General features: G+C 50.3%; 7 annotated features.

Moving 5' to 3' along the window:
• Window positions 756-1395: an enhancer, noted in NCBI's record as "H3K27ac-H3K4me1 hESC enhancer chr3:14308196-14308835 (GRCh37/hg19 assembly coordinates)". NCBI's record gives its function as "activates a minimal SCP1, AML or CMV promoter by ChIP-STARR-seq in naive and primed H9 embryonic stem cells {active_cell/tissue: H9 hESC(naive and primed)}" and the evidence as "EXISTENCE:reporter gene assay evidence [ECO:0000049][PMID:30033119]".
• Window positions 5828-6600: an enhancer, noted in NCBI's record as "OCT4-NANOG-H3K27ac-H3K4me1 hESC enhancer chr3:14313268-14314040 (GRCh37/hg19 assembly coordinates)". NCBI's record gives its function as "activates a minimal SCP1, AML or CMV promoter by ChIP-STARR-seq in naive and primed H9 embryonic stem cells {active_cell/tissue: H9 hESC(naive and primed)}" and the evidence as "EXISTENCE:reporter gene assay evidence [ECO:0000049][PMID:30033119]".
• Window positions 6601-7374: an enhancer, noted in NCBI's record as "OCT4-NANOG-H3K27ac hESC enhancer chr3:14314041-14314814 (GRCh37/hg19 assembly coordinates)". NCBI's record gives its function as "activates a minimal SCP1, AML or CMV promoter by ChIP-STARR-seq in naive and primed H9 embryonic stem cells {active_cell/tissue: H9 hESC(naive and primed)}" and the evidence as "EXISTENCE:reporter gene assay evidence [ECO:0000049][PMID:30033119]".
• Window positions 7375-8146: an enhancer, noted in NCBI's record as "NANOG-H3K27ac-H3K4me1 hESC enhancer chr3:14314815-14315586 (GRCh37/hg19 assembly coordinates)". NCBI's record gives its function as "activates a minimal SCP1, AML or CMV promoter by ChIP-STARR-seq in primed H9 embryonic stem cells {active_cell/tissue: H9 hESC(primed)}" and the evidence as "EXISTENCE:reporter gene assay evidence [ECO:0000049][PMID:30033119]".
• Window positions 10466-11237: an enhancer, noted in NCBI's record as "H3K27ac-H3K4me1 hESC enhancer chr3:14317906-14318677 (GRCh37/hg19 assembly coordinates)". NCBI's record gives its function as "activates a minimal SCP1, AML or CMV promoter by ChIP-STARR-seq in primed H9 embryonic stem cells {active_cell/tissue: H9 hESC(primed)}" and the evidence as "EXISTENCE:reporter gene assay evidence [ECO:0000049][PMID:30033119]".
• Window positions 15815-16316: an enhancer, noted in NCBI's record as "H3K4me1 hESC enhancer chr3:14323255-14323756 (GRCh37/hg19 assembly coordinates)". NCBI's record gives its function as "activates a minimal SCP1, AML or CMV promoter by ChIP-STARR-seq in naive H9 embryonic stem cells {active_cell/tissue: H9 hESC(naive)}" and the evidence as "EXISTENCE:reporter gene assay evidence [ECO:0000049][PMID:30033119]".
• Window positions 17081-17582: an enhancer, noted in NCBI's record as "H3K4me1 hESC enhancer chr3:14324521-14325022 (GRCh37/hg19 assembly coordinates)". NCBI's record gives its function as "activates a minimal SCP1, AML or CMV promoter by ChIP-STARR-seq in naive H9 embryonic stem cells {active_cell/tissue: H9 hESC(naive)}" and the evidence as "EXISTENCE:reporter gene assay evidence [ECO:0000049][PMID:30033119]".

The following is a 24904-nucleotide window of genomic DNA, read 5'->3' on the forward strand; positions in this document are numbered from 1 at the left end:
TTGTGGTAGCAGACATCTGTAATCCCAGGGACTCAGGAGGCCAAGGCAGGAGGATTGCTTGAGGCCAGTTGGAGACTAGCCTGGGCAACATAATGAGACCCTGCGTCTAAAAATTAAAAATAAACTAGCCAGGTATGATGGCATGCACTTGACATCCCAGCTACTTGAGAGACTGAGGCAGAAGGATCGCTTGAGCCCAGGAGCTTGAACCTGGAGCAAATTGTAATTACACCACTGCACTCCATCCTGGGCAACAGAGCGAGACCCTGTCTCTAAAAAAAAATAATAAAATGAATTAATTAAAATAAAGAACTGGAGCCAAGTGAGAAATCCACAGGTGTTTGTTACATTACTTTCTGTACTTTTCTATATGTCTGAAATATTTCATAAGTAAAAAGAACAGATTTTCCAAATGAAGAGTTGAAGTCAGTGGTGAGCGGGGCCTCTTCCAGTTTTCTGAGTCATGCAGAAGCCTCTGGCAGTTCTAGAGGGTGCATCTGCGTCTCCCACTCTTCCAGCGCAAGCCGGCTCCATATTACGCTCCCAGTCCTAAAACAGAATGACTAACGTGGGATTCCCACCGTGGCGAGTGTGTGTGCATGTGTGTGTGCGCATGCACTCTCCCAGGGAATCTCCCACCCGCCTCCAGGCTGGCCCGCAGCCTCTCTGCCTTCTGTACATCTTCCAGAGTGGCCATGTGGGAAGCAGTCCACGTGAGAATGTCAGTACAGGGACTGAGGAGGCTGGGCCTTGGGGGGCCCCCCTGGCTCCCTGGCCTAATTGCCTCTGACCTTGGGTTTTGCATTCCTCACTTGCAAAGTGTATACAAGGGTAGTGTATGAATCTAAGCTTTCTTCTGGACCCTCACAGCCTCTCCATCTCTATGCCCTAGACAGCCTTCCCCACAATGAGATAGCAGTAAAAATGACAATTGCAGCTGCTGTTTACTCAGCACCAATAGTTGATTATCTCATTTAACCCCCACAACAGACCCCTGATGGATGAGAAGGCTGAGGATCAGCGAGGCCCCGTGGCTTGTCCCAGGAAACACAGTGGAGATGCAGTGTTGCTGGGGCTTTGAGGAGTGGAGGGAGGAAGGCTACCGTTGCACTGGCTTCTGCCCACCCCAGCCTTTGGCCACCCTGCCCGAGATGCCTCCCTCTCAGCCCCCGGCTCTGGATTTCCACCCTGAATCCTTCCCTAGCTCAGGCTGGATGGGCTTTGCTGGTTGAGAGTTCTGGGAGCCGGGCCCAGGGAAGCTGGGGCAGCTGGCAGAGGCCCCTAGGTCCCACGCACACCAGGGCTGCCCAGGGCCTCCAGCCGTGGAGGCAGGGGCAGTGGATAGAAGAGGACACGGGGCTCTCTCTTGGGAGCTCTTCCCACCAGAGGCCTCTGCTTCAAAAATTCGTGACCCACCATTTCCATGGTGGCCTCTCATGGGGCATCTCCACACCCACAAGTCACCTGCCATCATCTGACCCTCGCGACACCCTCAACAGGCAGGGCCATTTGTGAAATCTTCTTCCCAGAGGAGGAAACTGGGGGTCAGTGAGGCCCTGTCTCGGGTCACCACTTCCCAGCCCCTTGAAGAGTTGTCGAAAGTGAGCACATCTGTGCCCACCGTCCCCCAAAGCCTCTCTGCCTCTTCCCCAGAGGTCCCCGCGATCCTGATTTTTAACACCATAGGTGAGTTTTGCCTAGTTGAAACTCCATGTAAATGAGGTGGTCCAGTCTGTACTTTTCCTTCCCTGGTTTCTTTTGCTCATCACTCTTGGAGATCCCACGCTGCGTGTGACTGTAATTGCTCTTGTTCCTAGCTACATGATATTCCGTGCATGGGTGTGTCACAAGTTCCCCTGACACCTGCTGACAGGGGTCTGGGCCGTTCTCAGGTTTTGAAGCCAGCTGGCTTTCTGCAGCTCCTGCTGTCCCCTGCCTGAGCCCTGGAGCCTGGCAGCAGCCTGGGTCGGGAGCAGGTGTTGCAATGCTCCTCATTTTAAAGAAGGAATCAGAAGGCAAGTAGAGACAGGAGCCATCTGCCAAGGTGGGAGCTGGGGTCTACCCGGGAATACCTGCCTCTAAGCCCCAGCCTTTCCCAGCTCACTAGATCACTCCCGCCTCCCCTGCCCCAGCCCAGGGCTGCTCACATCTGCCTCTTTGACAGTCATCTTTGCCATTGGGTGGCCCTGTGTGCTGTCTGCCTGCCCTTCCCCAGCAGGATCCATGAGTGAGTCTGTGCCCGAGGCCAAGCAAGTGCTCAAGACATTTGTCATCCGCCCATCCTGCTGCTCCACCCCTGTGTCCTGTCACCTCAGCGTCCAGGGCCTGGGGCTGGTCAGGAGGCCTGAGGTGTTAGAGGGCTACAAAGTCAGGTAGGGCCTTGGGCAAGTCTCTTTGCCTCTCTGTGCCTCAGCTTCCTCCTCTGTACAGTGACATTGTTGAGAGGATAACGTGAGTTAACCCCTGAGAGGTGCTTGGCTGAGTGCCTGGCCTGCGGTGAGTGTCCACGGTTGTGGAGGCTGTGATGCCTACCCCTTGTTGCTGTTGTTATAACACAGGTGAAGAAGACGTCAATTCCCAGGCCTGGCCAACCTCAGCCCAGTGCCCTCCCTGCCCCATTAATTGTGTGTGTGTGTGTGTGTGTGTGTGTGTGTGTGTGTAGAGCCTCCCTTGAGCTTAACAAAATATTGACTTCCTGATAAAATCCTTGTCCCTAGGCTACTTTCCCTCTCCTTACTGAGCTGACCCTTCAAGGATCTCAGAGCCAAACTGATGGCTCCACAGTTCCCCCACTGCCTTGGGTCCTACTCTTAGTTTTTAAGACAATTAAATTTAAAAATTTACATGGAGATTGCTATGGTCTGAATGCCAAATCCATGTGTTGCAACCCTCATCCCCAAGGTGATGGTGTTGGGAGGTGGAAACTTTGGGAGGTGAGGAGGTCATGAGGGTGGGACCCTCATGAATGGGATTAGTGCCCTTATACAAGAGGCCCCAGAGAGCTCCCTTGCCCTTCCCACCATGTGAGGACACAGCAAGAAGGCACCATCTATGAATAAGACAGCAGGCTCTCCCTAGGCACCAAGTCTGCTGGCACCTTGGCCTTGAACTTTCCAGCCCCAGAACTGTGAGAAATAAATTTCTTTGTTTATAAAACCACCCAATCTATGGCATTTTGTTATAGCAGCAAGAACAAACTAAGACAGTGGTAGACACCTGCAGTAAAAAAGTCAAAATTCTCAGAGGAAAACTGGAAAATCAGGCTTTCTTTCTCATCCTTGTGCATTTTCGGTTGCATCTCATGTGGCTCCAGTATTCCCAGTTCCTTCTGTATCTTTCCAGAGATATTCTATCATACACAGGATGACTCCTGCATTTATCTTTCACACAAATGGTATTCTCTACATACCTTCTTCACCTTGCTATTATTTTTTACAGCAAGAAAAAAAAATCAAATTGAGCGAAACAGTCCCAAACCATTTCTACTTTAAAAATTTTTAGTTTGCAACAGTTTAAGACCCACATGAAGTTGCAAAAATAGTACAGAGTTCCCATGCACCTTTCACCCAGCTTCTCCCAGCTCCCCTAGTGCTAACATCTTACATAATCATGCTACATTGTCAAACCGGGAAATTGACATGGGTACAGTATTACTAAGTCAGACCTTATTTGGATGTTACCAGTTTTTACATGTAATAATTGTTTTGTTTGTTTTTGTTTTCTGGTGCATAATTCTCTGAAACTTTCCCATGTAGATAGATTTTGTAGCCATCAGGCTGTAGAACTATTCCAAGCACCGCAAAGAAATGCCCTCATGTTAACACTGTAGAATTGCACCTTCCCCCAACCCTATCCCTAGCAACCACTGATCTGTTCCCCATTACTATAATTATGTCACTGTGACAATGTTACATAAATGGAATTATATAGTATATAACCTTTTGAGATTGGCATGTTTTGCTCAGCATAGTGCCCTGAAGATCAACTCAAGTTGCTGTGCTTATCAATAGTCCATTCCCTTTTATTATTGTGCAGTCTTCCATTTCATGGGTGTCCCACAGTTTGTTTATTCACTCACCTGCTGAAGGACATTTGTGCTGTGTCCAACTTTTGGCTGTTATAAATAAAGCTGTGATAAATGTTCATATAAAAGTTTTTGCATAAACCTGTCTTCATTTTTCAGGGATAAATACCCAGAAGTAATAATTGCCAGGTTATATGGTAAGTGTGTGTTTAACTTGATAACGAACTTTCCAGAGAGGCCATACCCAGAAGCAAGTATGAGGACTCCAGCTGCCCTGCGTCCTTGCTAGCACTCGTCATTGTTCCTGTTTTTTATATTAGCCATTTTGATAGGTGGTAGTGATATCTCACCATAGCTTTAATTTGCGTCTCCCTGATACCCGTGATGCTGAACTTCTTTTCTTGTGCTTATGGATTTGCCATCCCCAGATCCTCTTTGGTGAAGTATCTGTATGTGTTTCTTGCCAGTTTTCTAATTGAAGTGTTTGTTTTCTTACTATTGAGTTTAGAGTGTTCTTATACATTCTAGATACAAGTCCTTCATCAGAGATCGGATTATTTGCAGATCTGCAAAGACTTCCTCCCAGTCTGGGGCTTGTCTTTCCATCCAGAGATTTTACATAGTGAACATTTTTATTTTCTTGAGACAGGGTCTTGCTCTGTCACCAGGCTGCAGTGCATTGGTACGACCACAGCTCACTGCAGCCTAGACCTCCTGGGCTCAAGTGATCCTCCTGCCTCAGCCTCCCAAGTAGCTGAGACTACAGGGGCATGCCATCACTCTTGGCTAATTTTTAAAATTTTTTTGTAGAGACAGGGTCTTCCTGTGTTGGCCAGGCTGGTCTCAAACTCCTGGCCTCAAGGGATCCTCTTGCCTCCGCCTCCCAAAATGTTAGGATTGCAGGTATGAACACCGTGCCTGGCTGAGTGAACATTTTCAATTTTGATGAAGTCCAATTTATCAATTTGTTCTTTAATGTCTAGACACCTTGCCTTTTACTTTAATATAGCTTATAGATAGTTCCCTATCATCATGTAAAGAACTCCCTTATTTCCATTGTACAGATAAAGCATAATTTATTTAACCAGTTCCCTGTTGGGGACCTAACTATCCAAACTTGTGCTACCCTAAACACCACTGCAACGAATAACTTTAAGCAGACATTCTTTCTCACACTGTGGGCTCCACATATCCACATGCTAGTCAAAGGGTTCAAGCATTTGACAGATTAATGGTGTCCTTCCCTTGCTCTCCCACTAATGTCTAGGTGATACTGTTCCCTTTACCTTTTACCAGCACAAGATGTTATCAGATTGTTTTGGTCTTTGCCAATTTAAAAAATGAAGAATGGTTTCTCTGTGTGATTTTAGTTTGGCTGTCTTGAAGAGCTTTCTGTGTTTTCTTTTTCTTTTTCTTTTTTTTTTAAGACAGTCTCTCTCTGACCCCCAGGCTGGAGTGCAGTGGCGTGATCTCGGCTCACTACAACCTCTGCCTCCCGGGTTCAAGTGATTCTCCTTCCTCAGCCTCCCAAGTAGCTGGGATGCTGGGATTACAGGCACCCGCCACCATACTAAGCTAATTTTTTGTTGTTGTTTGTTTGTTTTTTTTTTGAGACAGAGTCTTGCTCGGTCGCCAGGCCAGAATGCAATGGCACGATCTCGGCTCATGCAACCTCCACCTCCCGGGTTTAAGGGATTCCCCTGCCTCAGCCTCCCAAGTAGCTGGGATTACAGCCATGCGCCACCATGCCCAGCTAATTTTTGTATTTTTAGTAGAGGCGGGGTTTCACCATGATGGCCAGAATGGTCTCGATCTCTTGACCTGGTGATCTGCCCAGCTCAGCCTCTCAAAGTGCTGGGATGACAGGCGTGAGCCACCGCCACGCCCGGCCTAATTTTTGTATTTTTAGCGGATAGAGTTTCGTCATGTTGGCCAGGCTGGTCTCAAACTCCTGACCTCAGGTGATCCACCCGCCTTGGCCTCCCAAACTCTTGGGATTACAGGTGTGAGCCACCACGCCCAGCGCCTTCTGTATTTTCTTCCTCGCAACGTTCAGTTCCTGGCCCATGTATTCTTTCCTACTAGGCCCTGGCATTGTCAATTGGTAGGAGCCCACACTTGACTTTCTGAAGGGAGTGGGCCTGAAAATGCCAGGACTGCCTCCTGCGCCAGTCCTTACCCGCTGATGGGGCTGAGATCTTGGTTTATGCCTTGCCCCTAACTTGCTGCCAGGAGTCTCTCCTGCATGAGCTCAGTGTCTCCATCTGTGAAGTGGGGATAAAAGTAGCACCCACTCATAGAACTGCTGAGAGGATGTTTATTGATTTATTAGAGACAGGGTCTTGCTCTGCTGCCCAGGCTGGAGTGCAGTGGTGAGATCGCAGCTCACAAGAGACCACCAAACAGGCTTTGTGTGAGCAGTAAAGCTTTTAATCACCTGGGTGCAGGCGGGCTGAGTCCGAAAAGAGAGTCAGCGAAGGGAGGTAAGGGTGGGGCCGTTTTATAGGATTTGGGTAGGTAAAGGAAAATTACAAAGGGATTACAAAGGAAAATTACAAAGTTGTTCTCTGGCGGGCAGGAGTGGGGGGTCACAAGGTGCTCAGTGGAGGAGCTTTTTGAGCCAGGAGAAGGAATTTCACAAGACAATGTCATCAGTTAAGGCAAGGACCGGCCATTTTCACTTCTTTTGTGGTGGAATGTCATCAGTTAAGGCGGGGCAGGGCATTTTCACTTCTTTTGTGATTCTTCAGTTACTTCAGGCCATCTGGGCGTATACGTGCAAGTCACCGGGGATGCCATGGCTTAGCTTGGGCTCAGAGGCCTGACAGTGAGATCGCAGCTCACTGAAGCCTTGACCTCCTGGGCTCAGGTGATCCTCCCTGTGGGGAAAAGAAAGAGATCAGACTGTTACCGTGTCTATGTAGAAAGAAGTAGACATAAGAGACTCCATTTTGTTCTGTACTAGGAAAAATTCTTCTGCCTTGAGATGCTGTTAATCTGTAACCCTACCCCCAACCCTGTGCTCGCAGAAACATGTGCTGTGTCGACTCAAGGTTTAATGGATTTAGGGCTATGCAGGATGTGCTTTGTTAAACAAATGCTTGAAGGCAGCATGTTTGTTAAAAGTCATCACCACTCCCTAATCTCAAGTACCCAGGGACACAAAACACTGCGGAAGGCCGCAGGGACCTCTGCCTAGGAAAGCCAGGTATTGTCCAAGGTTTCTCCCCATGTGATAGTCTGAAATATGGCCTCGTGGGAAGGGAAAGACCTGACCATCCACCAGCCCAACACCCTTAAAGGGTCTGTGCTGAGGAGGATTAGTAAAAGAGGAAGGCCTCTTTGCAGTTGAGATAAGAGGAAGGCATCTGTCTCCTGCTTGTCCCTGGGCCATGGAATGTCTCGGTGTAAAACCCGATTGTATGTTCCATCTACTGAGATAGGAGAAAACTGCCTTAAGGCTGGAGGTGAGACATGCTGGAGGAAATACTGCTCTTTAATGCATCAGATATATTTATGTATGTGCACATCAAAGCACAGCACATTTTCTAACCTTGTTTATGACACAGAGACATTTTTGTTCACATGTTTTCCTGCTGACCCTCTCCCCACTATTACCCTATTATCCTGTTACAGCCCCCTCTCTGAGATGGCAGAGATAATGATCAATAAATACTGAGGGAACTCAGAGACCTGTGTCGGCATGGTTCTCCGTATGCTGAGTGCCAGTCCCCTGGGCCCACTTTTCTTTCTCTATACATTGTCTCTGTGTCTCTTTCTTTTCTCAGTCTCTCATCCCACCCAACGAGAAATGCCTACAGGTGTGGAGGGGCAGGTCACCCCTTCACTCCCACTTTAGCCTCCTGAGTAGCTGGGACAAAAGGCGCACGTCACCATGCCTGGCTAACTTTTTAAATTTTTTTGTAGAAATGGCGTCTCACTGTGTTGCACATGCTGGTCTCAAACTCCTGGCCTCAGGTGATCCTCCTGCCTTGGCCTCTCAGAGGGTTGGGATGACTACAGGCGTGAGTCACCCCGCCCAGTCAAGAGGATGCTTGAGTAAACTTGCATGATAGCGCTTAGAACCGTTTCTGGCACACAGTGAGTGCTATGCAAGCGTCAGCCCTTCTATTGTGGTCATCATCTGCAAGTACTGTGGCTCTAAGAAGCAGTCTTCCCACAAAGTGGTCGTCCAGCCCCCACTGCACTCTCCCACTGGCTGGGGGGCCTGCCTCTGAGGCAGGTGTATTGCAACCCAGAGGTCTGCAGGCAGCCACCAGACAGCTACATACTGCCCCAGGAGCCCCTGTGAGCACGGCTTCCTCCTGCTAGCTGCAAGCTATGGCCTTCCATTTACTCCATCCCTGAGGGAGGCCCCAGTGATGCAGAACAGGCAAGCCCCAAAATTGGAGCTCAGCTGGGGACGGTTCTTGGCTTCACCCAGGAAACAATTCAAGGATGAGCCAGTGGTGTTAGCAACTTTTACTGAAGTGGCAGTGTGCAGCAGTAGCAGAGGTACTGCTCCCTGCGGGGCAGGGCTACCCCATAGGTAGTGTGCCCAGAGTGGCAGCTCAGAGGCAGTTCTGCAGTCATATTTATACCCACTTTTGATTATATGCAAATTAAGGAGCAGATTATGCAGACATTTCTAGAAAAAGAGTGATAACTTCCGGGTCATCGGGTTGTTGCCATGGAAAGGGGTGGTAACGTCTGGGTGTTGCCATGGCAATGGTGAACTGACATGACACTGGTGGGCATGTCTTATGGAGAGGTGCTTTCACCTCTTCCCTGCTTCAGTCTGGTCTGGAGTTCAAGTCCCGGCCCTCAGAGTCAACCCCGCCTCCTAACTCACCTCTAGCCATCCCCAACCTGCGTGCCTAGTTCTGTGTCAGGGACAGGGCCTGTCTAAAGGTTGACCAAGGACAGGTTGGAGACAGGGACATTTGACATTGTACAGTCAAAACCACAGAGGGACGCTGCTTGAATGGGCAGCTCAGGCCCCTGGGAAGTCCCCCGGTGTGGAAGGTGTTGGCCTGGGTGACACCTCAGCAGGAGGGTTGGGGGCTTCCCTCCTGCCCCTGGTCTCTTTTCCCCAGGGCCTTTTAGACCCCTTACTCTCCTGAGGTGAGGGAATGGAGCACTGGAGAGGACCCACTGAGAAAGCAGGTCTGTGTTGATACCAAGAGCATGGACTTGAGCATCTTTATTTGAACCCTGGCTATTGGCTGTGTGACCTTGGGAGAGTCACTTAACCTCTCTGAGCCCCAGTTTCTCTATCTATAAAATAAGGCTGATAACAGTGTCTGCTTCTTAGAGTGGTTGTGAGAGTTAAATGTGGCAATGCTTGTGAAATGCTTGGCTGGCACTTGGCATATGGTGATCGCTCATTGGGGATAGCAGAGGTAGTAGTTGTTGTTGTTGAACAGAAGGATCTCAGGCCATTGCTCCTACCATGCCCTCTACCTGGAGCATCTTCCTCACTCCCTCCACTTGTCTAATCCCACTCATTCTCCAGGTCTTAGCCCATGCAAGCACCCACCATGTACCAGGCCTTGGGAACATGAGGGGAGCAGGTCACCCCCGATCCCTTGGGAGCACCTTGTCAAGCAGCTCCTTGCAGCTGAGTGGGGCCAGCCTGGGCTAGAATCAGAAGACCTGGGTTCTCATTCCACATCGGCCACCAACTGCCCAAGTGCCTCAGGCAAATGGCTTCCCCCAGGCCTTAGTTTACCCAACAAGAGATCTAAGGAAGCTCTGTAAGTTTTCCTCCCTCCCTACAGGGGGCGTCCAGACCACAAAGTGCACAGGCCCTTTCCCCATGTGATGCTGTTCAGCCAGAAAGCTTCCAAACTCCCCTCGAGAGCACCTGGCATGCGTCCTCTCCAGTCTGCTCTCCCAGGGCACTGTGAATGGTAATGCAGGCCTCGCTCACTGATGGTGGGCCCGCATTGTTTCACTTGCTCCCCACCACCTCTTCACTGATGATAGGTTTCACAGGAAGCATCATGGTGGCCACGTCTTTGTCGGGGTGAGCCTTGCTTCCCAGGAGTTGTGGGAAGGACTCAACTGTCTGGGATTCCCTATTTTGGGGGCTGTTTTCTGCTAGGCAGGTTTGGGTTCGTGCCTCAGCTCCTCTGTTGCATGAGTGGAATCTCTTGCAGTTCATTGCCTCTGACAGAAGACCTGGCTCAGAGGGTGGTGAGACATACTGTTTCCTATAACCGGCAAGCCCTGGGGTTTCAGGCATGGCTGGAACCACATGCTCAAATTATGTCTCCAATTGACAGATGAACAAATGGAAATCTGTGACTTACTGGAGAGAACACAGTACACATGTCCTTTCTCTTGACTCCGCTTCTTCTGTGTTGGCTTCATTCTCAGGAGCCATTCTCATCCTCCTCAGTGGGAAGGTGGCTGCCAGCAACTGCAGGCTGTTCTTGAGCAGAGAGAGGGTCTAGTTCCCCCAGCATCTCAGCAGAAGTCCCATTCAGGTCTGTCCCTGGCCAGGCTTGGGACTCCTGGCAATCCCTGGACAGGGGCTTGGAGATCCCAGCTGGGATGGTGGAGGCTGAAAGACACCCTCCTCGAGCCACACAGAGAGCTTCAGTGGAGTCCAGACACAGGAGGATCAGCTTCAGAGGTCAGAGCAGGGGTGTCCCTGCAGCTGGAGTCCCTGCAGCTGGGCAGAGTGTGCTGGACCACAGAGGCCTGGAGGTGAGGAAGGAGGAAGGAGGGCGCGGCCGGCCCGATGGCTGGGAAGGGGGCTGGGGCTCGCAGCTCTTCCTGGGAGGCCCCAGCAGGCAGCTGACCTGAGGGAGTGAACCCCACCCACTGGGAGCTGGAGAAGGGATGGAGCCTGTTTCTCCTGGGCTGGGGAGAACAGGTGGGTGCGAGGGGTCTGCCCACCTTCTCAGGGGAACATCAACACTGTATCCTGTCACACAAGCAAACACAACCCCACTGACCATTAGGGGTACAGCCTCCAGCACAGAGCATACATTTTAAAGACTTTTATTTATTTTTATTTCAATAGCTTTAGGGGTACCAGCGGTGTTTTGTTACATGGATAAATTGTATGGTGAAGTCTGGGCTTTTCATATACCCATCACCCAAATAGTGCACATTGTACCCAATAGGTGACTTTTCATCCCTCACCCCTCCCCCCACCCTCCCCACTTCTGAGAGTCCATTATACCACTCTGTCTGCCTTTGTGACCCATAGCTTAGCTCTCACTTATAGGTGAAGACATGCAGTCTTTGGTTTTCTGTTCCTAAGTCACTTCACTTAGGATAAGAGAGCGAGCATTTTAACCACCATTTATTAGATACCTACCACGTGCTGGGCACCTTGCCTCACGCCAGACATGCATTATTTGAAATCTTCACAACAGCTTTGAGAGGGAGTGGGTGTGTGGCCCACTTGCCAGGTGGGGAAGTTGAGGTTCATAGAGCTGGTCTGTTCAAAGTGTAGCTACAGTAGTGAGGGCACACAGCCAGACATACAGCAGATATATTGTAACAGTGTGTGTGCCAGGAACAGAACTGAAGTGGTTGAAATGTAGAGAGGGTTTGCAGACGAAGGGGTATGTCTGGTCAAGCTGGGGCGAGGAGAGGGGAAAAGGTGAAATTTTCGAGAAGGAGCAATGTTCCAGTGCAATCTGGAGGAATTTCCATGAGAAAATGATGGTGAGAGCGTGCACTGAGCAGAAGGCACAGTTGGCCTTTGGGGAGCTGGGAGCAGTTGGGTATTTCTGAGGCATGATGCGGACAGCAGAGGGGAAGTGGATGCTGAGGGTAAGGGACCTTGCCACAGTGGCCAGCAACAGCATCACAGCTGGCCAGTGGGGGCTGGTGGCAGAAGCAGTGACTCTGAGCTTGTTGCCAGGACAGGAAAGCTGAGGGACAGAAAGACCCAGGACTCAGGACCTGTCATGTGCAGGATTTCCAGAGAAGGCCACAGTCACCAAGTGAGCGGCCACACTGTGCCTGGTGTCCTCACCCTCGTGGCACTCTGAATACTCAGTAGAGACCCATGGGTACGGGAAAGGAGTATCTGCATTGTTTAGAGGGGAAGTTGAGGCTCAGAGACAGAAAGTGACCGGCCCCAGGCCACAGAGTCAGGAAAGGACAGAGTGGGACTGGAACCCAGGACCCTTCATCTCTTTCATCTCTGAGCTGCCCATCATCCCTGAGCAAGCTTTAAACCAAGTGTGCCCATTGCCACTGCCCTCCAGAGACACCTTGAGTGCCTTTCATTAAAAGTGTCCTGTTTTGTAGAGATGAGGCCTCACTATGTTGTTCAGGCTGGTCTCAAACTCCTGGGATCAAGCGATCCACCTGCCTCGGGCTCCCAAAGTGCTGCAATTACAGGCATGAGCCACTGTGCCTGGCCTCTCTTCCCATTTCTGACCCTGGTTTTCTATATAACTGTTTTTGTCTCTCTAGGCCTGGCCCCAGGTCCCCTCTCACAGCTCCCACCATCCCACATTTCACCACAACCTGCAGGCAGCCCTCCTTCCCGCACCAGCCTCAACGTCTATGAGGCTGAGCCAGAGAAAAGCAGATGTGGTTGCAGTGGGGTGGCGGGAGGCCTAGGCCCTGAGAGCTGTGCTGGGGCAGGGACACCCTGAGGAGGCACCCTAGGGGTGGGAGAGGGCAGCCCCAGGAAGGAAGGCCTTTCCCGGCCAAGGCTGCCCAGAATGGGCTCACTGAGTGGGAGGGAGTAAGCCTCCTCGCCTCCTTTCCCCACCCCAGAAGTTTAAGTGGGCTTGGGTGCTGCAAAAGGAATTTTGGAGCAGAAATGTGAGCTGAATCAGTCTCCTGTATGTCACCTGGGTCACATGTTAAAATGCAGATTCCTGGGCCCTGTCTCAGAAATGCTGACTCATTAGGTCTGGTGGGATGGGGAGATCTGCAACTCTGTATTTTAACAGCACCTCAGGGCATTCCCATGGGAACCACCGAGGAGGAACTGGGAGTTTTTCCTAACTCTGAGGCTCTGGGAAAAGTTGTCTATGCCCAGAAGCCAGCATCAGGCAAAGTTGCCCAAGACCTGCTCCGCCAGCCCCTTGCAGCTGGGCTGGGCTTCCAGGAGCAGACGCCCGGTGTCGCACTGCAGGAAGCAGACCTTTCTGAGCCTGGGGAGGACTCTGAGGGGCGAGGAGTGGGAATGCAAAAGAGGAGCCTGGGGATGGAGCAGTTAATGGGGGCAGCCACAGGCTCCTTCTCTCTGAGACCCTCAGTGACTCGCCCAAGGGCACACAGCTGGGTTCCCATAACCCAGCACTAGCAGCTGGGAGGGGGTTGGGGATGGTGGTGTGTGCCAGCTACACAGATAATTAGATGCAGTCCTGCCCTCCTGTGACTTGGAGTAAAGCAATCAAATGTTAACGGTTTTTAAACTGAGCAATGCAGACAGAGCTACAGGTGCAAGATGGGGAGGGAAGTCTCAAAAGTAAGTAGTGGGGAGGTGGAAGGTGCCCCAGGTCCAGCACTGCATGGATGGGTGGAGGTGTGGAGGGGCATCCCAGCGGCAGTGGGCGGGGGTGTCACGGGTGGAGCTGATTCCTGCCCTTCCGACCACTCCTGAACCCCATGGGGGAGCCTGTGAGCTGTCTGCGGGGAACTCAGACCATCTACCCTTGGACCCAGGAGGAGAAGACCCAGACATGTGCTTGAAGAGGTCTGCAGAGAAAGCTGAGGAGAGCTGAATGTGCCCAGCTCAGCTATTTGTGTGGATTGAGGCGCAGTATCACAGGCTGGCATGCAGGAGAGAGGGTTTTATTTAGAGAGCGGCCGTCTGGAGGGGCCTTGCCAGCAGAGAAGTTTAGAAATCATCTGATGCTGCCCCTCATTTAACAGAGAAGCCAGGGCCCAGAGAGGGCAGGAGACCATCTGAGGCCACACAGCCACAGCTGACAAACTCCGAGTTGGAACCTAGGTCTCCGATTCTGAACCAGCACCTTTCCAATGGGTGGCAAGTGCATAGCGTGGGCAGGACTTCCTAACCCCGCAGAGATCCCACTCTCCCCACCACCGCCTCGCACCCAGCCTCAGCTCCTTTATAGCACGCGTCCAGGCAGCTTCCACCAGGCATTCAAGGTTGGTTCCAGAGAGGAAAACTATGTGCCATCCCTGCTCAACATTCAAAAGGGCCTCTCCCAAATGTGTTCTCGGTGGCAGCACCTGCTAAAATTCTGGATTTTAAGGGGTCCTTCCCTGCCCATTATCACTGCAACCTTGACTCCTCCCCGACCCCACACCTGTGGCCTGGTGCCAAAGGCTTCTGCATCTTTGGCAGAGAAACGTATGTCCTCCCCAACCCCTTGGAACTGGTTGCAAACTTGGGTGGGGTTGTGCATTGGGGTGGGGGTAGAAGGACTCTAACGTTTACAGTTTTAAAATCAGATTTTCAAAGTCTGTGACTTCAAAAGGAACAGAGTCACTGATTTGCTTCATAGTATGTGCCATGAGTCAAGCATTTTTCTGTACTGTGCCTGGTGCTGTGGGTTAGAGCGCTTCTCTGGGGCCAGCCTGCTGGGTTCAAATTCTGACTCAGCAATGTGTTGTTACCTGTTTGACCTGGGACAAGTGACATCACCTGAAAACCCTCCAGAAGTGTTGGCTGTACTTATCCTCTCATTCCTTTGAAATAGCCCAATCCAAGAACTACTGTGTCAGAGAGGATGCTTTTTGGCTGCAGGAAACAGAGCATCTACAAGTAGTTTAAACAGCAAAGAGGTTTGCCATTTCACACCATGAGCAGTTCGGAGAAACCACTCAGAGTTAATTTTGCATCTCAAGAAAGTTCTCAAGGACTCAGTTTTTATCTCTCTGCTCTGCTGTCTCCTTAGCCAGCTGACAGACATATTGGGTGGACCAACAGACACCCCCGCAGCCAGGTGATCCAAGCCAAGGATTCCTTGGTGCCCCTGGCTAGTAGGTAGAGGTGTCGAGCATTTGTGATGGTTCATCTCAGGTGTCAGCCTGACTGGTTTAAGGGACACCTAGATAGCTGGTAATTCTGGGTGTACCTGTGAGTTTGTTTCAGGAAGAGACTGGCATTTGAATCAGCAGCTGAGTCAAGAAGATTGCCCTCACCCAATGTGAATGGGCACCATCCAATCAGCTGAGGACTTAGATAGAACGAGAAGGCAGAGGAAAGGTGGGCAAATTTCCTGTATCTTCTGGAGCAGGGATACCCTTGTCCCACCCTTGGACATTAGAACTGCAGGTTCTCAGTCCTTCAGCCTCCGACTAAGAGTTGCACCATCAGCTCCCTTTGTTCTCAGGCCTTTGGCCTTGAACAGAGCCACACTACTGGCTTCCCTGGTTCTCCAGCTTGCAGACAGCCTATCATGGGACTTCTCAGCCTCCATAATTGCATGAGCAAATTCCCCTAACCCGTCCACTTGCAGATTCTTGGCAATAAATGGTTCTTGTTTCCAGCCACTGTGTTTTGGGGTGGTGTGTTACTTTGCATTCTTATAGCACAGCTGACTGGTACATCCTTCCCAGAGAGACTGATGTTCAGAGATGACGGCCATCCCATTAGCCACCTGTCTGGCTCCTCTTTACTCGGACGCCTGATATAGCTTGGATGTCGCCTCCAAATCTCATGTTGAGATGTAATCTCCAATGCTGGAGGTGGGGCCTGGTAGGAGGTGTTTAAATCATGGGGGCGTCCATCCCTCATGAGTGGCTTGGACCATCCGCTTGGTGATAAGTGAGCTCTCACTCTGAGTTCGCACGAGATCTGGCCATTTTAAAGTGTGTGGCACCGCCCTCCCCAATTTGCTCCTGCTTTCACCATGTGACATGCCTGCTCCCACTTCACCTTCCACCATAATTGTTAGCTTCCTGAGGCCTCCCCAGAAGCTGATGCTGGAGCTGTGCTTCCTGTTCAGCCTACAGAACCATAAGCTAATTAAGCCTCTTTTTCTTTTATAAATTAGCCAGCCTCAGGTATTTCTTTATACTAATGCAAGAACAGCATAATACAACCCCCTTCCTATTGTGAATCTGTCCCCTTGCCGGTGGAGTTTTGGGGAAGGCAGGGCCCACCTCCCACTACAAAATTTAAAAGGGCAAGATCCTCCCTCTCTCTCCTTCCTAATGTCCAAATCATGGGCCCCGACCCAGAAACTAAATATGCTGTGACAGATGCAAAGATGCGGGGTGGAGGAGCAGTTACGCACAGAGATGGCGGCAGCCAAGGTGGCCCAGCAATGGCAAAGACCCCGTTCTCGTCGGTGCTCCCAGCTCATGGGAGTGGCCCCTCGGCAGTGCCCCCTCAGCCTCCCTCATCCTGGCTCCTACCTGTTTTTCTGAGTCTGGTTCTCCAGACTTCCTGAAGATTCCGTGAGCTACCTGATATCCCTCCAGGAAATTCCTTTACATCTTAAGAAGGCCAAGCTCTGCTTTAATGCCTGCAGACACGAGCCCTGACTGGCACACACAAGGAGCAAGTGACCTAACCTTTCTCTGCCTCGGGTCCTCAAGGGAGACAGGGATGATAATAGCACTTACTTTGTAGGACTGAAGTGAGGTCATCCATGCAGCAAGCATAGCACAGGGCCTGGCACACAGCAAGCACTCAATAAATGTTAGCTGTCAGCACTACACATCCTTCAGCTTCCAGGGAGGTCAAGGGAAATACAAAACTAAGATTCTTGAAGCCAGATATGTCTCTCTCTCCTTTAAAGTCATCCCAGAAGCCCAAAGGGTTGCCATCGCTGGTAAAGGGGTAATGGGAGTGACGGCGATGATGATAATGATGATGATGAAGACAGCAAACACTTCCAACGCTTGCATAGTGCTTTTTGTTTTCTTTTCTTTTGTTTTGTTTTACCGCCAGGAACTGTTCTAAGTACTCCACAAATTTTATCTCATTTAAACCCTCATAAGCATACCATAAGGAAGTGTTACTTCACATCGTGAGAAGTTCAGAGGAGCCACTTGAAGTCAGTTCTGCATCTCAAGAACGTTCAAGCAGATTGCCCTCACCTAATGTGAACAGGCACCATCCAATCAGCTGAGGACCTTGATAGAACAAGAAGGCAGAGGAAAGGTAGGCAAATTTCCTGTCTTTTCTGGAGCTGGGATACCCTTCTCACACCCTTGGACGTTAGAACTGCATTGGAACTCATTTTACAGATAAGAATACCAAGACACAGAGAGAGCAACCGGTTTGCCCAAGGTCATATGAGCTGTGGGCAGTGGCACTGGGGTTTGATCCCAGCGCTCTGGCTCCAGAGTCAGTGGCAGCAGGACGAAGCTGTGGAGAGCACAGCAGGTGCTCACTAGTGGTTTCTCTTGTGCAAGATCCCTCACTCACCCAGTCCCTTGGACTGGTCTGCCCCTGTGCCCACCAGAAACAGCAAGCTTGGGAGCCCTGGCTGAGTCACTGGCTTCAGGAATCTGGGGCATTTGGGACCTTGGTCCTTGGTGTGGATGTGTGGTTCTGGTCAGGACCATCTCTGCACCCTGGGGATGGTGCAGGGGTGGCAGGCCTCCCCTCCTTGGCCCCACCTCACTCTAGGGGCAGGAATACAGCCTTCCCACCACCAGCCTCCGAGTTTTGGGGTGGTGTGTTACTTCGCAATTTTGTGGTATGGCTGATTGGTACATCCTCTCCAGATAGGCTGATGTTCAGAAATGACAGCCATGGGACCATGGGAGGCGCCCACTAGCTCCTCAGCCCCCAGCCTGGCTGTGCTGACAGCTGACATCTAGACTTTAGGCTTGGTACCCAGGCAGAGCGGGCAGTCAGATGTGACCACTGGGGCCAAGAGGGCTGAGGTTACTTGCCTGGCACCTCATGGCTACTCATTGGTGGACTCTGGATTTGAACCTACATCTGCCCGCCTGAAGGCCCCTGTGGTGTAGCCAAAAGGAGCATGTGGCATCTGTTAGGCTCACATCTGGCTGACAGTGGCTGTTTTGTGCACTGTTTTTAATTTTAAAAACTATTTTAAAAACCAATCTCTGACATTTATGGAGTGTCGGTTACAGAGAGCCAGACCCTTACGTGTGTGACATCATTGAATCCCTCAGCTGCCCTTAAGGGCTGAGCCACACTCAGTCTTGTTTATAAAGGGGAAACCAAGGCACCCGAGGCAAGGGGCCTGGTGCACTTTTGTGTTCCTTGCCTGCCTAGCATTCTTCACCCCTTTTTCTAGGAGGGGCACCCCAGTTTCCCTTTGGGAAACCTCCCACCCTCATTGCTGCAGTTAGGTCAAGACTGTCAGTCAAGGTGCCCTATCCTCCTCTGACCAAGGGGTAGGCACATGACCTGGGCATGGCCAATCAGACACTCTCTCCTGGGCTGGCCCCACTCAAATCATATGACATAAACAGGCCACATCCAATGCTGCTTCACACTGAAGACTGTCTCCTTGTCCTTGCTACCTAGGCCCACTCATCTGAATCCCATAGATTTTGAGATGTTGACTCCAAGAATTGTATTTCATACTTCCTATAAGGCCCCATATCTCTAGCTGAAGTTAGCTGAGCCTGTTTTCTGTTGCTTGCTTGCAAGCCAGGGCCCTACCCAAATTTGAAGGAGCACCCCAGGTTCATGCAGGTAACACAGGAGTCACACCCAGGAGGTCTGATGCCAGAATCCGGAGTCTAGGCTGCTGCCTGGGGTAGGATCTCCCAGGTCAAAGAGGGAACCAACATTACCTGGGGCCCAGGGATATTGCCCACAGTAGCTAGCTGTGAATTTGCCTTCATTCCTACAAGAAAGCCACATTGTTTTCATGAAAGAGTAATGTCCTAAGCTATTCAGAAGTGATTTTCATTGTCCTCAATCTTCCCGGCTCCACAGATCCCACAGAACAGCTCCCCTGGCACCCTGAGAAGCATCTCCCTTACCCACCCCACCACATTCCCCTGCTGCTCTGGAGGCACTGGGAGGGCTTGGCCCCCTGGGACCCTCTCCGGGGGTCCAGGTGGATGGAATCCAACGTGGCAGTGTCTCTTAGAACCCTGCAGGTCAGCCCGTCAGGCTTTTTCCACCTCCACATTTGTGTCATAGCCACATCCCTCCTGTACTAACATTTTCTTTACTGAAATCACTTAAAAATCTAGAAGACTTCATTCACTTCACTGCTGGAAAGGGCACTAGTGTCGCCGTATGTAATCAGAATGCAGCCATGCACAGAAAACAACATGTGCTACTGTCCAGCTCGGCACCATGGCCTGCCCAGGGCTCGCCAGTGGCCAGGGCTTTGCCAGGGGGGTTGACAGGGGTTAGAGGGGTATCCCAGATACAGGCACCGCCCTGACCTTCCACCCTGGATGCGGTCAGAATCAAAGGTTCAAAAGGAACCAGGAGGGGCACATGTCATCAGGACCTCCTGAGGCTGTGTCATTTAAAAAAAAAAAAAGGAAGCAGGAGAGACGCAGTTTCTCCGTTAGTAAGCTGATGTTACTTAAGGCCATGGCATGTGCCATGAACTTCACATTTTGGGAAACACTGATCCTCACGGCACAAGTAAAAACAGAGAGGAAACGAGTCTTGTCCCAGCCACACAGCACATCGAAAGAAGAGAGGCTGGAACTAGGCTGTCCTGCCCACATGCCAGGTCTTCCAGCAGCACCTTGCTTTGTCTCTTTAAAGCATTTCAGATGCTCCCAGGCAACTCCTGGAGATCTAGGACCACATTAATCTCCGCAGCCACGCCCCTTCCATCTGTTGAGTTTGGGCTCTCCTCAATCCCCCCACCCCCACTGCACCCACAGCACCAGTTGGTGTGGGCTCTGCGAATGCAAACTCATTTAAACGTCAGCTGGAGCAACAGAGCTCAGCAAAACAAGCAGGCAACAGAAATAGACATGACAATCACTGGCATCCTAGACTGTCAGCAGGACTTCCAGACCCTCTTAGCCCTTCCTGGGACAGGTAGCCCTTGGAGACACAAGATAACTAGGGACCCCAGCCAGGGGAAACTCATGCATATGCATATTTTGCATGTAATTTTGGAGGGGTCATGGGACCCATCTCACCTCAACATCTTGTGGGGTTTTTTTCCGTCTAAATGAACTGAGGTTCCCAGAAAGATTTTGTTTGCAAAAAGTGATCTGATTCCAAGAATTTGGAAATGACTGGTCTCATTGATTTTTCAGGCAGCTTCCAGTTAATAAGCTGTGAAAAAATGCTCAAATCCACTCCAGAAGCAGCAGTTCAGGGTACCTCTGTTGCAACCAGAAACCTCTTCCAACCCTCGACTTATCTTTTTGGAAGGGTGAACCTTGGGGTTTATCTTAAACGTGGAGGCACTCCTGCAGCATCAGTAAAAGTCTTTGACACTTTGAAGAGGAACCAAGGTTAAATTTCAGCAGGGAGGAGACACCCCATCTCTGTTCCTCGCCTCCACGGCCATGGCTCCTACCTTCTGCCTTGCACAATTCAGGCACCATCTGACAGAATACAAAAGCAGCCATGCCCTGTGGATTATTTAACTCTGAGGTCACAGCCATTCCCTGTGGATTATTTAACTCTGAGGTCCCAGCCATGGTCCTGAGTGGCCTTAATGTGTAGGCCTTGCCTTTGTGATTTCAGTGTCCCCCATCTTTTTTTTTTTTTTGAAACATTGTCTTGCTGGGTCACCCAGGCTGGAGTGCAGGGGTGCAATCTCTGCTCACTGCAACCTCCGCCTCCCGGGTTCAAGCAATTCTCCTGTCTCAGCCTCCTGAGTAGCTGGGATTACAGGCACCCACCACCACGCCAGGCTAATTTTAGTATTTTTAGTAGAAACGGGGTTTCTCCATGTTGGCCAGAGTGGTCCAAACTCCTGGCCACAGGTGATCCACCCACCTTGGCCTCCCAAAGTGTTGATTACAGGCGTGAGCCACCGTGCTCGGCCAATGTCCCCATCCTAACCAAAGGAGAGAGTGGAAGGTTGAACCAAAGGAGAGAGTGGAAGGTTGGGACAGGGACCAGCCCCATGTTACGTTCCCCTTCTTGTTCTAGGACTTTGCATGCTTAAGTTCTTGGCATTTGAAATCTTCTCTGTTCTCCTGATTGCTTTGTTTCTTAGCAAGGATTGGGGTAAAAGATCTCCCCCAGAGGAAGTGGTAAGGACAGAAGCTGAACAATAGGGCTGAGAGGGCTCTGGCACAGGAAGGATGGGAGACTGATGAGAGGGAAGTAAGAAATTGTTGGAAAGAGGCCAGCAGGAGAGGAGGGAGGTACTGATGTTACCTGGCTGTGGCACCAGCAGTTTGAGACCTGGAGGGACAGGTGTCTATGTGGGGTATCACGTGGTTGGGGAGGGGTAATTTCCACCTGCAACTGGGGGCTGCCTGAAACCCGATCAGAAGACTCATGGCATGGTGCTAATGGCCTCAGGGAGCTGGCAGGAAGCAGCTGGGCTGAGAAGTGGCTGCTGTGGCTCAAGGTGCCTGCTGGGTCCCTCTGCACTGCATTTGCTGTCGAATGTGCTCTCTGGCCAGGAACGCTGGGCTTTCACGTGCCACCAAGCACAGGATCCAAGGAGGAGAGATGGCCTATACTTGGTTGCCCCGGTTTCCTCATCTGTGCTGTGAGGTTGATCATCCATGGCAGGCCCACTTCCCAGTGTTGATCATCCATGGCAGGCCCACTTCCCAGTGTTGATCATCCATGGCAGGCCCACTTCCCAGTGTTGATCATCCATGGCAGGCCCACTTCCCAGTGTTGATCATCCATGGCAGGCCCACTTCCCAGTGTTGATCATCCATGGCAGGCCCACTTCCCAGTGTTGCTGGGAGTCAGAGCCGGGTGGTGGACGGAGGGAGTCTGTCCTGGCTCAGAGAGTGGCACGTGTGTCTTCTCCTTGGGTCAGCCTTCAGATCCAGTAGATGACCTTCTGGAACCCACAGCTCAGAGGCTAAAACTCACATGCCAACAGCATTTGCAAATGAGGGACGCAGCCCCAGCGCCATTCCTCACGTCATTGAGGGGAAGAATAGTATAGTGGCCATGAGCACAGACTGGTTTTGGCTAGACTGGGTCCAAATCTTGGCTCTGCCACTTACCAACCGCAGACCTCTGAATCTCGGTTTCCTCGTCAACAAAGGGATTAATAAACAGTAAAATAAATCATTGGCAAATAGCATATCGATACCTTCTGTTCGCTTATCCTGCAGCCATGACAGACACTGCTAATCATTCAAGATATTCTTTCTCACTGACCCTCAGAATCTTCTGTATGTCCAGAGCTCCAGGCAGCCACTCCCAATAGGTAGGATTTGGCATGTGAGATGAATCTTTTTTGTCATCTCATTACGATACCTTTAGAGCACAGTTTCTGGCACATAGCAGATCCTGCATAAAAGCTACCATTCAGCCTCTGCTCATTGCAAGAATCCTTATCCATTATCCCCAACTTCTGCTTACTCACCTCCAGTGACGGGAAGCTCACTGTTTCCTGAGAGTAGCCATTCCATTGCTGGACAGTTCTGATGATTAGGAAGTTCTCAAATGACCCTCCCTTTTTCCTCAAACAGTCTATAATTCTATGGCAAAGAGCCCCCTTCCTTCCTGCATGAGCTGTCATTTACAGATTTAGGTGATTTATTTTTAGGTGATAAGTTTGAACCTCCTGAGGAGTAAACCCTTTCTCTCAGCTTGCATATAGTTGATCCCAGGCTAGCTAAGCATCTTCAGCACTTGATGGACATGTTTGGGGGAGTGAGAGTGTGTGTGTGTGCATGTGTGTGTGTGTGTCTGTGTCAGAATGTATGGGTGAGTAGGAGAGATTGAGAAAGAGAAAAAAGAGAGAGAAGACAGAATGAGAGAATGTATTTTAAAGCATACCAGCCAATGTCACTCCTTATGTAAGCCCAATAGCTTCCCAGGGGATTGGGGTTGTATTCAGGGCCCCATCATTAGCTGATTAAGGCTGATTATTCCAAGGGGAGGGGGTAGTGAAAAGGGACAAGAAGTTACATAACTATCCATTTATTTAGATTTAATCCATGTTTCTAAATTTAGGAGCTGGAAGAATTCAAAGGTGCGCCCCCTGGCATTAGAAGTGGTGCTGGCCACACAGGGGAACGTGGGTGTGGTGAGTGTTGGAGACCAATACCACCCAGGGTCACAGTGGGGGATTTTTCCCAGGGCACAGTTCAGGGACTTCATCTCACAATCCCAGGAGAACTGTAAAAGGACCCAGTATTGCTCAACCCATTTCATACCCTGGAGCAGGTGCATAATGTGACTAGGATGGGGGCAGTGTTACAGAGGGGTGGAGAGCATGCTGATGTGGGAGAGGGAACCAGAACTGAATGTCCTGTGAAGGGGAGCAGCTCTAGGAAAACCTGGACAGTCATGGTCACCCCCAGGGTATCGCATGTGTTCATGCATATGTCCTAGTGTGGCCATTTCCAGATGGATTCCCTTTCTGCGTGGACTCATAGCTTTGCTGTTCTAAACATTTTGTGCAGGGGTGTAGAAAATCATGAAAGTCATTCAGGTTCTGCCTTCCACAAGGTCGCTGCATTTAAGTGGGCCTCTCTCATATCAAAAATAGTGTAGGTTCACATACATAAAGAGGTAATTTATTTGCAGATGGCTGCAAAGGACACTCTAACAAAATAATTATTACAACTTTTTTGGAAGCTAGAAGTATCTTGAGCAAAGGGAGTCATTTTCTGATTTGAGCAAAGACACCACATGGGCTCACAGTGACCTGCCTCTAACTTCCACGGATGCTGACTGTATCCAACTCCGAGTTCACATCAATAGTGATCCTGTTTAGAGAGAAGCTGCTGAAAGCTGAGGATAAAGAACAGCTGCAGAGCTGTGACTCATCATTCAAGGTCTCAGAAACATTGCAAAGGCCATTGCAAAGAGGTGACAGCACTCTGTAAGAGCGCATGAGGTAAGGTGCATATAAAAGCACTTTATTAACTGTAAGGAATCCACATTCATTTGAGGAAAGGCTGTGAAGTTGTGTTATAGTAGAACACATGCCAGACTTGAACTCAGCGGCTTTCTAGTTCTGTTACCAGTAAGAATCACATGGAAAAAAGGCTGCAAGAGACCCTGCTCCAGAGCCTGGCTCACAACGAACCCTCTATGAATGATTGATTTCTCTCTCAACACTACTTTTAAAGCACCCCGGCAGTGTGGACACTGGAATGTGATATTTTCTTTGAAACCCTATGTACTTACAATAAAATTCCAATTTGTTACCCTGACTAAAAATCCTGTGTCTGACGCCCTGCCCCCCAGTCCCACTCATGCCCTGCCACACTCTCTGGGCTCACTCTACTCCTTCCCTTGAACACACCAAGCCCATTCCTACCCCAGGGACTTTGCACTCACCACTCCTCTTCCTGGAACACTCTTCCCTCATCTTTCCTTGACTGGCTGTTTATCCTCATTCATGTCTCAGCATGAATGTCACCTCCTAGATGGAAAATAGCCCCTGGTGCCTCCAACCACCTCACTCTACTTCAACTTTCTGCATTGTCCTTACTGCTTTCATACACTTTCATCCTCTGCTTGCTTATTTTCTGTCTCCACCACCAAAATTTAAGCTCCACAAGGGCAGAGATTTTTGTCTGTCTTGCTCACTACTGTAGTCCAAACGGCGGGTGTCTGACAGAGGGTGTTGATGAATGACCGCACTTTGTGAGAATGGAGAGGTCAGCACCTTCCACGCTTAGGAGCCCCTCTCAGCTTCATCCTTCCCCACTCCCCCGCTTTTTCTCTCCACGGATTGCCTCTCCTTTTGTCCACATTTCTCTCATATTCCACTAGATGACTTCCCACTCTTTTCCTTATCCCCTTGCTTGCTCTGCAGAGAGCTTTGAACATCTTGTTCTTTCTGTTCTCAAGGCTGGGATGACTTAACCTTCCCCCTGTCTCATCTTTCTGAATATCCG

Source organism: Homo sapiens, chromosome 3, assembly GCF_000001405.40.
Source record: "Homo sapiens chromosome 3, GRCh38.p14 Primary Assembly".
NCBI classification, from domain to species: domain Eukaryota; kingdom Metazoa; phylum Chordata; class Mammalia; order Primates; family Hominidae; genus Homo; species Homo sapiens.